Here is a 13,282-nt window from a genome sequence, read left to right on the forward strand (position 1 = left end):
AATAAATTTCCTTTTTTCTGTGTGTCTTTTTCTATTTCTTTCATCAGAGGTTTATAGTTTTCCTTGCATAGATCTTTCACTTCTTTGGTTAGATTGATTCCTAGGTATTTTATACTTTTTGTAGCTATTGTAACAGGATTGCCTTCTTGATTTCTTTTTCAAATTGTTTGCTGTTGACATATATAAATGCTATTGATTTTTGTATGTTGACTTTGTATTCTGCAACTTAACTGAATTCATTTATTAGCTCTTAACAGTTTTTTGGGGAAACTTTGGGTTTTTCTAAGCATAGGATCACAGTGTCTGCAAACAAGGCTTATTTTGCTCCTACCTTTTCAATTTGGATGCCCTTTCTTTCTTTCTCTTGTCTAATTGCTCCAGACATTACTTCCACTACTATATTGAAAAACAGCAGTAAAAGTGGGCATTCTTGTCTTGTTCCAGTCTTTAAAGCAAAGGCCTTCAATTTTTCCCTATTCATTATGCTGCTAGTCATAGGTTTGTCACAGTTGGCCTTTATTATCTTGAGGTATGTTCCTTCTATACCCATTTTGATGAGTTTTCATTAAGGATACTGAATTTTATCAAATGCCTTTTTGGCATCTATTGAAATAATCATATGGTTTTTGTTCTTGATTCTGTTAATATTGTATAACATGTTTATTGATCTGCATATGTTGAGCCATCCTTGCATCCCTGAGATGAATCCCACCTGATAATGGTGAATGATCTTTTTAATGTGTTGTTACATTTAGTTTGTTAGTATTTTGTTGAAGATTTTTGCATCTATATTCATCAGTGAGCGTAGCCTGTAGTTTTCTTTTCCTTTTTTTTTTTTTTTTTTTTTTGCCTTGCTTTGTTTTGGTATCAGGGTAATAATGCTGGCCTTGTAGAATGAGTTTGGAAGTATTCCTTCCTCTTCAATTTTTTTAAAGGGTTTAAGTAGTTGGTATTAGTTCTTTTTTAATGTTTGGTAGAATTCAGCAGTGAATTCATCAGGTACTGGGCTTTTCTTTTATGGGACATGTTTTTTACAGCTTCTATTTCATTACTTGTTATTGGGTTTGTTGAGGTTTTCTATTTCTTCATGATTCAATCTTTGTAGGTTGTATGCATTCGAGAAGACATTATCCATGTCTTCTAGGTTTTCCAATTTATTAGAGTATAGTTCATAATAGTCTCAATAATTCTTTGTATTTCTGAGGTCTCAGTTATTACATCTTCTTTTTCATTTTTGATTTCATTTTTTAGGTCTTCTCTTTTTCTTTCTTAGCCCAGCTAAAGGTTTGTCAATTTTGTTTATATTTTGAAAAAGCAACTTTTTGTTTTGTTGATCTTCTGTTTTTTAGTCTGAATTTCATTTATTTCTGCTCTGATATTTATTATTTCTTTCCTTCTACTAATTTAGGGCTTGGCTTGTTTTTACATTTCTTGTTGCTTAAGGCACATCATTAGGGTGTTTATTTTGAAGACTTTCAACTTTTTTGACATAGGCATTTATTGCAATAAACTTTCCTGTTGGTACTGCTTCTGCCATAATCCCATAGATTTTGGTATGGTTTATTTCCATTTTCATTTGTTTCAATAAATTTTTTAATTCCCTTCTTCATTGACCCACTGGTCATTCAGGATCATGTTGTTTAATTTCCATATGCTTGTGTATTTTCCAAGGTTCCTCTTGTTATTGATTTCTAGTTTTATTCCATTGTGATCCAAGAAGATACTTGATATTATTTGTTTTTCAGAATTTGTACAAACATGTTTTGTAGCCTAAGATATGGTCTATTATGGAAAATGTTCCATGTGCTGTTGAAAAGAATGTGTATTCTGAAGCAGTTGGGTGAAATGTTTATAAATGTCAGTTAGGCCTGTTAGATCTAGTGTATAGTTTAACTTTACTGTTTCTTTATTAACGTTCTGTCTGGATGATCTGTTCATGACTGCGAATGGGATATTAAAGTCCACTACTATTATTGTGTTGCAGTCTGTCTCTTTCTTTAGGTCTATTAATGTTTGTTTTATATATTTTGGAGCACTAGTGTTCAGTGCATAGATATTTATAATGGTTATATTGTCTTGCTGAATTGAAACCTTTGTCATTATATAATGCCTTTCCTTGTCTTTTTTTTTTTTTTTTTGAAGGTCTTTGATTTGTAGACTCTTTTATCTAATATAAGTATAGTTACTGCTGCTCTTTTATTTGAAGGGGCAGGGTGCTCTAGTTGCATGGAATATCTTTTTCCACCCCTTTCAGTCCATGTGTATCTTTATAGGTGAAATGAGTTTCTTGAAGGCAGCATATAGTTGGGTCTTCTTTCTTTCTTTTTTAAAAAAAAATTTCAACTTTTATTTTAAGTTCAGGAGTACATGTGCAGGATGTGCAGGTCTGTTACTTATGTAAACATATGCCATGGTAGTTTGCTGCACAGGTCACCCCATCACCTAGGTATTAAGCCAAGCATCTATTAGCTATTCTTCCTGATGGCCTCCCTCTCCGACTCCCACCCCTGACTGGCCCCAGGGTGGGTTGTTCCCACTATGTGTCCGTCTGTTTTTATCATTCAGCTTCTACATATAAATGAAAACATGTGGTGTTTGGTTTTCTGTTCCTGTGTTAGTTTTCTCAGGATAATGGCTTCCGGCTCTATCCATGTCCCTGCAAAGGACATGATCTCATTCCTTTTTATGACTGAATAGTATTCCATGGTTTAAATGTACCACATTTTCTTTATCCAGTTTATCACTGATGGGCATGTGGGTTGAGTCCATGTCTTTGCTACTGTGAATAGTGCTGCAGTAAACAAACGCGTTCATGTATCTTTCTAATAGAATGATTTATATTCCTTGGGGTATACATCCAGTAATGGGATTGCTGGGTCAAATGGTATTTCTGGTTCTACGTCTTTGAAGAATTGCCACACTGTCTTCCACAATGTTGGAACAAATTTACACACCCACCAAGAGTGTAAAAGCTTTTTTTTCTCTGCAATCTCACCAGCATGTCGTTTTTTGACTTTTTAGTAATTGCCATTCTAACTGGTGCAAGTTGGTATCTCAGCGTGATTTTGATTTGCATTTCTCTAATGATCAGTGATGTTGAGCTTTTTTTCATATGTTCATCAGCCTCATGTATGTCTGCTTTTGAGAAGTATCTGTTCATGTCCTTTGCCCACTTTTTAATAGGGTTGTTTGCTTTTTTCTTGTAAATTTGTTTAAGTTCCTTGTAGACTCTGAATATTAGACCTTGGTCAGATGGATAGATTGCAGAATTTTTCTCCCATTCTGTAGGTTGCCTGTGCACTCTGATGATAGTTTCTTTCGCCATGCAGAAGCTCCTTAGTTTAGTTAGATCCCATTTGCCAATTTTTGCTTTTGTTGCAATTGCTTTTGGCATATTTGTCACAAAATCATTGCCTGTGCCTATGTCCTGAATGGTATGGCCTAGATTATCTTCCAGGGTTTTTATAGTTTTGGATTTTACATTAAAGTTTTTAATCCATCTTTTGTTAACCTCTGTATAAGGTGTAAGGAAAGCATCCAGTGTCCATTTTCTGCATATGAGATAGCCAGTTCTCCAAGCACCATTTATTAAATAGGGAATCCTTTCCCCATTGCTTGTTTTTGTTGGGTTTGTCCAAGATCAGATGGTTGTAGGTGTGCGGTCTTATTTCTGAGTTCTCTATTCTATTCCATTGGTCTATGTGTCTGTTTTTGTACCACTACCGTGCTGTTTAGGTTAGTGTAGCCTTGTGGCATAGTTTGAGGTCAAGTAGCATGATGCCTTCAGCTTTGTTCTTTTTCCTTAGGATTGTCTTAACTGTTTGGGCTCTTTTTAAAAATAGTTTCCATTCTAAATCTGTGAAGAATGTCAATGGCAGTTTAATAGGAAGAACACTGCATCAATAAATTACTTTTGCTGATATGGCCATTTTCACAATATTGATTCTTCCTATCCATGAGCATGGAATGTTTTTCCATTTGTTTGTGTCCTCTCTGATTTCCCCGAGCAGTAGTTTGTAGTTCTCCTTGAAGAGGTCCTTCATATTCTTTGTTAGCTGTATTTCTAGGTACTTTATTCTTTTTGTAACAATTGTGATTGGGAGTTCCATTCATGATTTGACTCTCTGCTTGCCTGCTGTTGATGTATAGGAATGCTAGCTTTTTTGCACATTGATTTTGTATCCTGAGACTTTGCTGAAGTTGCTTATCAACTTAAGAAGCTTTTGGGATGAGATTATCAGGTTTTCTAGACACAGGATCATGTCATCTGCAAACAAACATAGTCGGAATTCCTCTCTTCCTATCTGAATACTATTTCTTTCTTTCTTTTGCCTGATTGTCCTGGCCAGAACTTCCAATACTATGTTGGATAGGTGTGGTGAGAGACTGAAGGAGGATAGAGACATGACAACTTGTCTTATGCCAGTTTTCAAGGGAAATGCTTGAAAGACCCATCAGTATGCTGTCTTTAAGAGATCCATCTCACATGCAAAGACACACATAGGCTCAAAACAAAGGGATGAAGGATAATTTACCAAGCAGATGAAAAACAGAAAAAAGCAAAGGTCACAATCCTAGCTTCTGACAAAACAGACTTTAAACCAACAAAGATTAAAAAATGACAAGAGCATTACATAATGGTAAATGTTTCAATTCAACAAGAGCTAACTATCCTAAATATATAGTCACACCATAAAGGAGCACCCAGATTCATAGCAGTTCTTAGAGACCTATAAAGAGACTTAGACTCCCACACAATAATAGTGGAAGATTTTAACACTCCACTGACAGTATTAGACAGATCATTGAGACAGAAAATTAACAAAGACATTCAGTACCTGAACTCAGCTCTGGATCAAGTGGATCTGATAGATATCTACAGAACTCTCTACCCCCCAGCAACAAAATATACATTCTCATTGCCTCATGGCACTTACTCAAAAATTAATCACATAATCGGAAGTCAAACACTCCTCAGCAAACGCAAAAGGACTGAAATCATAACAAACAGTCTCTCAAATCACAATACAATCAAATTAGAATTTAAGATTAAGAAATTCACTCAAAACCACACAACTACATGGAAATTGAGCAACCTGCTCCTGAATGACTGCTGGGTAAATAATAAAAGTAAGGCAGAACTCAAGAAGTTCTTTGAAACTAATGAGAACAAAGAGACAATGTATCAGAATCTCTGAGGGCAGATAAAGGCAGTGTTAAGAGGGGAATTTATAGCACTAAATGCCCACATCAAAAAGTTAGATCTCAAGTTAACAACCTAACATCACAACCAAAAGAACTAGAAACCAAGAGCAAACAGACACCAAAGCTAGCAGAAGACAAGAAATAACTGAGATCAGAGCAGAACTGAAGGAGGAAAGAGACATGAAAATCCCTTCAAAAAATCAACAACTCCAGGACGTGGTTTTTTGAAAAAATTAATAAAATAGATAGACTGCTAACTAGACTAGTAAAGAAGAAAAGAGAGAAGAATCAGATAAATACAATCTAAAATTGTAAGGGGAATATCACCACTGACCCCACAAAAATACAAACAACCATCAGAGAATACTATAAACACCTCTATGCACATGAACTAGAAAATCTAGAAGAAATGGATAAATTCCTGGATAGGTACACCCTCCCAAGACTGAACTAGGAAGAAATTGAATCCCTGAATAGGCCAATAATGAGTCCTGAAATTGAGATAGTAATAAATAGCCTAACAACCAAAAAAAAGCCCAGGACCAGACAAATTTACAGCTTAATTCCAGAGGTACAAGGAAGAACTGGTACCATTTCTACTGAAATTATTCCAAAAAATTGAAAAGGAGGGTCTCCACCCTAACTCATTTTATGAGGCCAGCATCATTTTGATACCAAAACCTGGCAGAGATACAACAAAAAATGAAAACTTCAGGCCACTATCTCTGATGACTGTTGAGGCAAAAATCCTCAATGCTGGCAAATCAAATCCAGCAGCATATCAAAAGGCTTATCCACCATGATCAAGTTGGCTTCATCCCTGTGATGCAAGGTTGGTTCAACACGTGCAAATCAATAAATGTGGCTCATCACATGCAAAGAACTAAAGACAAAAATCACATAATTATTTCAATAGATGTAGAACAGGCCTTTGATAAAGTTCAACATCTCTTCATGTTAAAAATTCTCAATAAACTAGTTATTGAAGGAATATACCTCAAAATAATAAGAGCCATATATTACAATCTCCCAACCAATATCATACTGATATTGGGGTCTTGGTTCTTTATCCAGCTTGCCATTCTGTGTCTTTTAATTGGGACATCTAGACCATTTGCGTTTAAGGTTAGTATTGTTATGTGTGAATTTGATTCTGTCATCATGATGCTGGCTGGTTATTTTGCAGACTTGTTTATGTAGTTACTTCATAGTGTCACTGGTCTGTGTACTTCAGTGTGTTTTTGTAGTGGCTGCTAATGGTTTTTCCTTTCCATATTTAGTGCTTTCTTCAGGACCTGTTGCAAGGCAGGCCTGGTGGTGACAAATTCCCTCTGCATTTGTTTGTCTGAAAAGGATCTCATTTCTCCTTCACTTGTGAAACTTAGTTTGGCCAGATATGAAATTCTAGGTTGGAAATTCTTTTAAGAATGTTGAACATTGGCCCCCAGTCTCTTCTGGTTTTTAGGATTTCTGCTGAAAGGTATGCTGTTAGTCTGATGGGCTTCCCTTTGTAGGTGACTTGGTCTTTTTCCCTGGCTGCTCTTAACATTTTTTCTTTCATTTTGACCTTGGAGAATCTGACGATTATGTATGTGTCTTGGGGTTGATCTTTTTATGGAGTATCTTACTGGGGTTCTCTGAATTTCCTAAATTTGAATGTTAGCCTGTCTTGCTAGGTTGGGGAAGTTCTCCTAGATAATATCCTGAAGTATATTTTCTAACTTGGTGTCAGTCTCCCCATCTCTTTCAGGTACCCCAATCAGTCATAGGTTCGATCTTTTTATATAATCCCATATTTCTGGGAGGTTTTGTTCATGCCTTTTTGTTCTTTTTTCTCTAATCTTTTCTATCTGTCATTTTATTTTATTTTATTTTATTTGAGACAGAGTCTCACTCTGTCACCTAGGCTGGAGTGCAGTGGCACAATCTCGGCTCACTGCAACCTCCACCTCCTGGGTTCAAGTGATTCTCCTGCCTCAGCCTCCTGAGTAGCTAAGATTACAGGCACACACCACCACGCCCAGCTAATTTTTGTATTTTTAGTAGAGACAGGTTTCACCATGTTGGCCAGGCTGGTCTCAAACTCCTGACCTCCGGTGATCCACCCTTCTTGGCCTCCCAAAGTGCTGAGATTGCATGCATGAGCCACCATGCCCGGCCCTGTCTTATTTCAGAAAGATAGCCTTCAACCTCTGAGATCCTTTCACTGCCTGGTCTATTCTGCTATTGATATTTATGATTGCATTGTAAAGTTCTCATGTTGTGTTTTTCAGCTGTATCAGGTCAGTTACGTTTCTCTCTAAACTGACTATTCTGATTATCAGCTCCTGTATTGTTTTATTATGTTTCTTAGCTTCTTTGCATTGGGTTACAACATGCTCCTTTAGCTCAGCGAAGTTCGTTATTACCCACCTTCTGAAGCCTACTTCTATCAATTCAGCCATCTCAGCCTCTGCCCTGTTCTGTGCCCTTGCTGGTTATTTGGTGTTGTGGTCATTTGTAGGAGAAGAGGCACTCTGGCTTTTTGTGTTTTCAATGTTTTTGCATTGATTTTTTTCTCATTTTTAGGGGCTTATCTACCTTCAATCTTTGAGATTGCTGAGCTTTGAGTGGGGCTTTTGTGGGGTCATTTTTGTTGATGTTCTTGTCTGTTTGTTTGTTCTTAACAATCAGGCCACTAATTATTAGCAACCATAGGGCTGCTGCAGTTTGCTGGGGGTCCACCGCAGACCCTAATTGCCTCCATTTTTCCCATACCTGGAGGTATATCCAGTGAAGGCTGCAAAGCAGCAAAGATGGCAGCCTGCTCCTTCCTCTGTAAGCTCCATCCCAGGGTGGTACTGACCTGTTGCTGGCCCAAATGCACCTGTAGGAGGTGTCTGGAGACCCCTGTTAAGAGTTCTCACCCAGTCAGGAGGAACAGGATCAAGGACACACTTACAGGAGTAGTCTGGCTGCTTTTGGTAGAGCCAGTGTGCTCCATTGGTGAGGGACTCTTCCTAGTCCGGACCTCCTGGACTCTCCAGAGCCAGCAGGCTGGAAAAGCTGAGTCAACCAAACAACAGAGACACTGTCTGCCTCTCCCCACAGGAGTTCCATCCCAGGGAGAGATCAGGGTTCAGTGCATATAAGACTGGCTGGAGTGACTCCAGGCCCCCCACAAGGGGGCCCCGCCCAGTGAGGAAGAATGGATCAGGGTGCCACTTAAAGAAGCAGTCTGAGCATGATCTTGCAAAGCAGGTGTGTTGCAGTTAGGGGGAACCCTCCTCGTCCAGACCACCTGGACTCTCTACAGATGGCAGGCTGGAACGCTGACTTGACTGAACCACAGAAATGGCTGCCACCCTTTCCCCCAAGAACTGCTTCTGGTTTCAGGCAGACTCATCCTTCCCCCAGGAACTGCCTCTGGTTTCAGGCAGACTCAGCCTATTGCCCTTGGCTGGCTGGAATTCTAAGCCAGTGGGTCTTAACTTATGAGGTGCCATGAAACTGAGGCCTGCAGACCGACACTGCTTGGCTCCCTGGATTCAACCCCCTTCCTAGGGGAATGTACAGACAGATCTACTGCCTTGCCAGAATCCCGGCGCTGGAGTATATAAAACTTCTGGGTCTCTGTGCCTGAGCAGCTACTCTGCCAAGACTCCACACTGCTCTGTGTATCAGACCCAAAGCCCTGGAGACATGGGCTCACAAGGGGATCTCCCAATTTGTGGGTTGCAAAGATTCATGGGAGAAGCGTGGTTTCCTGGGCACGATAGCACACTCACCGCTTCCCTTGGCTGGGGATGGGGGTTCATTTGGCTCTGTGCCACTCCCATGTGGGCTGTCACCCCACCCTGCTTTTCTTTGTTCCCCATGGATCCAGTTGATTGCCTAGTCAGTCCCAATGTGAGAACCTGGATATTTCAGCTGAAGGTGCTGAGTTCACTCACTGCTTTCACTCCTCTCTGGGAGTGCTGCAGACTGCAGCTGCTTCTAATCAGCCATCTTGGCCCACATTCAGGTCTTTTTTCTATATCCTTTCCACCACTGTATGCCTTTTAATTGGAACACTGAGACCATTTACATTCAGGGAGGGAAGAAGGGAAGAAGGAAGGAAGGAACTCTTAAGTAGGATACCTAGCTCATTAATTTTCAATTTCTTTTCAGAATCAGTCAATACATTTTAGGTTATAAACTGCTGCTTTAGCAACATCCTAAAATGCTGCAATTTGTATGTTATGTTTTTGCCCAAGGCAGCCCAGTAGAGACTCAGCATTCAATGATTTTTTTGGGGGATGGTTACATAGGCACACTCTTCCTATCATGTACCAAAATTCCAGACCCCAGAAGGAAATGAGGTGCAGCATAAATCATATTGTTCGTATTAGCAGTCTAGGCACAATAAACTCCTCTTACCAATTAAGGAATGGTGGGGACACTGAAAACACCAAATACCTAAAACCAGCAATAGCTATCCTTGCAAGCAGACCCTTTTGAAGTTAACAACCTCAAACCAACTTTGTTAAATCCCTCTCAAATTTTTAGAGTAGGTTGATACTATGAAGAGATGGATCATGTAGTTCAGTAGGTGTGTGTTGAATTAATTAGATAGTGCCTGTGGGAAAATATAAGTTTCAAAATAGTTACTTTTAAGTGAACTTCCATAATATAATCCTATTCATGAGTTTGGATTGCCTGTAGTTAGTGAACAATACTGTTACTTTAAAAGGAGGCTGAACCTCTAAATGGTAGTCATAGTCTTTATTTGGCATAATAGGAAATTGAGTAATTTTTCAAAAAGGTAGCTCATTATCTGTAGCATCTATTACTATAAGTTAGCTATTATTTGTCCTCTTTGTTGCCTATGCTAAATTTCCTTCTCTATACAGGTTAATCTTTGAAATAAAAGTTTTGTAGGAATAAATTGTTATTTTTAACTTTATTCAGATTTGTAGAAAAATGCTACATCGCCACATGCTTATATTTCGACTGCCTAACTTACAGATGTTAGATGGAAGTCCTGTGAATTCAGATGATAGGGCAAAAGCTGAATTTCACCTCGCTGAACTACAAGCAAAGAAAAACTCGGTAATAATTATATTATTTACAATTTTCCTTTTGAAGCACATTAATGGTTAGTAAATGAACATTATATCTTTTGATTTAAATGTTTAAACCTATGGCGTTTTTGATAAGGATGATCTTAGTATCTATTTAGTGATTACTATCAAAGGCAGCTGGATTTGGTGAATAGAGCATGCGTGCTCACACACACACACACACACACACACACACACACACACATATATATGTAAGTCAGGGAACATCCTTTTCTTAATAGCATACTTCATACTCTGACATAAGGAAAGTTATTTAATATTTGTATGCTCAATATGTCAGATGATGCTAGAACATAGGAAACTATAACATATCACTTTCATAAATAGAAACTAACAATAAAACTATTTCCCTTTAGGCACACAGAAAGGGAAGGAAGGAATTCTGAACTCAACTCTCTGGATTGTGTAGTTTATCTAAGAAAGGAGATGTGTGCCTCTATCTGTGTGTTTTGTTAGGATAATTGGGCTTTTTACTCAGGAGCCCTAAAATGTATCTGATCATGGTAGGAAAGAGATTAAAAAGGGAAGAAATAATAAAAGCATGTCATTTGAAAATTCTGTCTTTGACCACCTAGTTTCTTCATGACCATCTTCTAAAGACTAAATTTAACACAGAAAATCTATGGTTTTTGAACAGAGAAGTAACATTATTAGAATGCTGTGGTTTGAGAAAAAAAGAGGCTGGAGGGAGAAGGGAAACCAGCTCAGAGGCTTTTAGAATAATCCAAGAGAGATGTTATGAAGACCTGGACCACGGTAGAGAATATAAATGAATCTTTGATGTAAGTGAAAACCAGAAACCAAGGACATTAGAGTCCATGAACAGAGGTGACTTTAAAAACATTAAACTGAATAGGAAAGAGATAGGACTACCATACATACTCTCCTAACAGGCTTTCACTGAACTCACCAGATTAATTCCGGTGACACTCCCAATTGCAGAACATACTCAACTTTTGATACTTGTAGGCTCCTCTCTAGTCCACTTCTCCCTTCAGCAGTACATTCATATACTTATTAAGAGCTAACTGTATGTCAGTTCTTGTTATTTTAAATAAACACAGGGACTCTAAGTGCAAATTTTAAATTATTATTTCTATTTGTCTATGAAAACCAAATGGAATACTTTGGAAAGTCTGGATAAAGGGCACTCTCTCTCTCCCCACCCCTTCCAACGCCCTCCCCCATAGGTTCAAATTAGATGTGGGAGAAAAAACTAAAATATGAAGAAAATGATAAAAATGCAGAGAAAACATGTAAGGAAATTATTTTTAAAAGCTAGACAGATTATTGTGTTCAGATTTTTTCCACATGCCTTTAAATTCTTGCTATTTTAAAGAAACCAAAACTGGAAATTGTAGGCAAAATAAGGGTATCATGTCTCCAAAAACAACCAAATAAATAATACCAATCAAGGGACCCTTGCCTACAGAGCAGCTTTGGTCCTTCATCAAAAGATTGATGAATGCATGTACTTTTAAATATTTTATTTTTTTAAGATGAATATCAATTAGACAATGATTCCCTTACTTTTTTTTTTTTTAGACGAAGTCTTGCTCTGCTGCCCAGGCTGGAATGCAGTGGTATAATCTTGGCTCACTGTAACCTCTGCCTCCTGGGTTCAGTTGATTCTCCTGCCTCAGCATCCCGAGTAGCTGGGACTACAGGCATGTGCCATCATACCAGGCTAATTTTTGTATTTTTAGTAGATGAGGTTTTGCCATGTTGGCCAAGCTAGTCGTGAACTCCTAACCTTAGGCAATCCACCCGCCTTGGCCTCCCAAAGTGCTGGGATTACAGGCTTGAGCCATTGCACCCGGCCCCCTTACTTTTTTATTAACTCTTTTAAAATTAATCTTGACATTTTTTGATTAACCAAAGGGCTTCTATTATAGGTCAAAGTAGCTACAAAGACTTGTGATTTTAAAAGTTTTACAATGTTTAAAAAAGATTATTTAGTTTAGGCAAAGGAAATTGATTCATTCATGGACTATATCTACAAATTTTTTTCTAAAAACTATGGTTTCCAAAAAGAAATTTAGCCATTGATCTATATGATGTAACAAAACAAGTGCATCATCTAATGTCATCTACTCAAATCTTTGTCACAGGCCCCAGTCTTTCAAAAGAGAGCAAATGGTCAAATAAAATTTAGTTCAGTGACTTAAGATGATTTCTTTCCTTTTCCCTTTTTTATATTCCCGAAGCAAGTCACTTCTTGAAAAATGTATGCCACCTGTATTAGTTTCATATTGCTGCTATAACAAATTACCACAAATTTAGTGGCTTAAAATAACACATATTGTCTTACAGTTTTGAAGGTCAGGAGTCTGAAAACCGGTATTAAAGGACTAAATCAAAAATACTGGCAGGGGCCAGGCTTGGCGGCTTATGCCTATAATCCCAGCACTCTGGGAAGCTGAGGCAGGTGGATCACTTGAGCCCACGAGTTGGAGTGCAGCCTGGGGAACATGGCAAAACCTTGTCTCTATTTAAAAAAAAAAAAAAACAAAAAAAACTAGCCAGGCATGATGGCACATGCCTGTAGTCTCAGCTACTCAGGAGGCTAAGGTGGGAGAATCTCTTGAGCCTGGGAGGTGGTGGCTGCCGTGAGCCAAGATCGTGCCAATGCACTCCAGCCTGGGTGACAAAGCAAGACCCTGTCTTGGAAAAAAAAAAAAAAAGTATTGGCAGGGCTGCATTTTTTCTGGAAGCTCTAGGAAAGGATTTATTCTTTGCCATTACCAGCTTCTAGAGGCCATCCGCATTCTTTGGCTCATGGCTCTCATCCAGTAATGCCATCACTTAGACCTCTGCTTCCATGATCACTTCCCCTTCTCTCTGACCTTCTGCCTCCTTCTACCTCGAAAATCCAGGATAATTTCACCATCTCAAAATCCTTAATCACACCTGCAAAGTACTTTGCCATGTAAGGCAAGGTATTCACAGGTTTTGGGAATTAGGATGTAGATATC

General features: G+C 38.3%; 1 protein-coding gene and 1 long non-coding RNA gene across 18 annotated transcripts in view; one reads left to right on the forward strand and one right to left on the reverse strand.

Annotated features, from left to right (window-relative positions):
• The window catches only part of LRRC9 (leucine rich repeat containing 9), a 147,105-nt gene that overhangs the window by 123,218 nt on the left and 10,605 nt on the right, over positions 1-13,282 (forward strand). For 10 of the 13 annotated variants that reach the window (NR_075071.3, NM_001355272.3, XM_024449567.2 and 7 more), the window contains one exon: positions 10,135-10,275. Coding sequence is in view for 10 of the 13 variants with exons in the window: in NM_001355272.3 (NP_001342201.1) it covers positions 10,135-10,275 (141 nt within the window). In the remaining 3 variants the exon portion in view is untranslated. Of the gene's footprint in view, positions 1-10,134; positions 10,276-10,944; positions 11,090-13,282 lie in introns of those variants that run through there. The other 3 variants (XR_002957549.2, XM_024449566.2, XM_024449570.1) reach the window with 3 other exon arrangements.
• PCNX4-DT (PCNX4 divergent transcript) overlaps positions 1-13,282 on the reverse strand; it is a 122,654-nt gene that overhangs the window by 73,838 nt on the left and 35,534 nt on the right. For 3 of the 5 annotated variants that reach the window (XR_943918.4, XR_007064197.1, XR_943916.4), the window contains exon 3: positions 10,190-10,254. The exons of the other annotated variants lie outside the window; for them this stretch is intronic. This is a non-coding gene — a long non-coding RNA (PCNX4 divergent transcript). The remainder of the gene's footprint in view (positions 1-10,189; positions 10,255-13,282) is intronic. 5 annotated transcript variants of the gene reach the window in all.

Source organism: Homo sapiens, chromosome 14, assembly GCF_000001405.40.
Source record: "Homo sapiens chromosome 14, GRCh38.p14 Primary Assembly".
Taxonomy (NCBI): domain Eukaryota; kingdom Metazoa; phylum Chordata; class Mammalia; order Primates; family Hominidae; genus Homo; species Homo sapiens.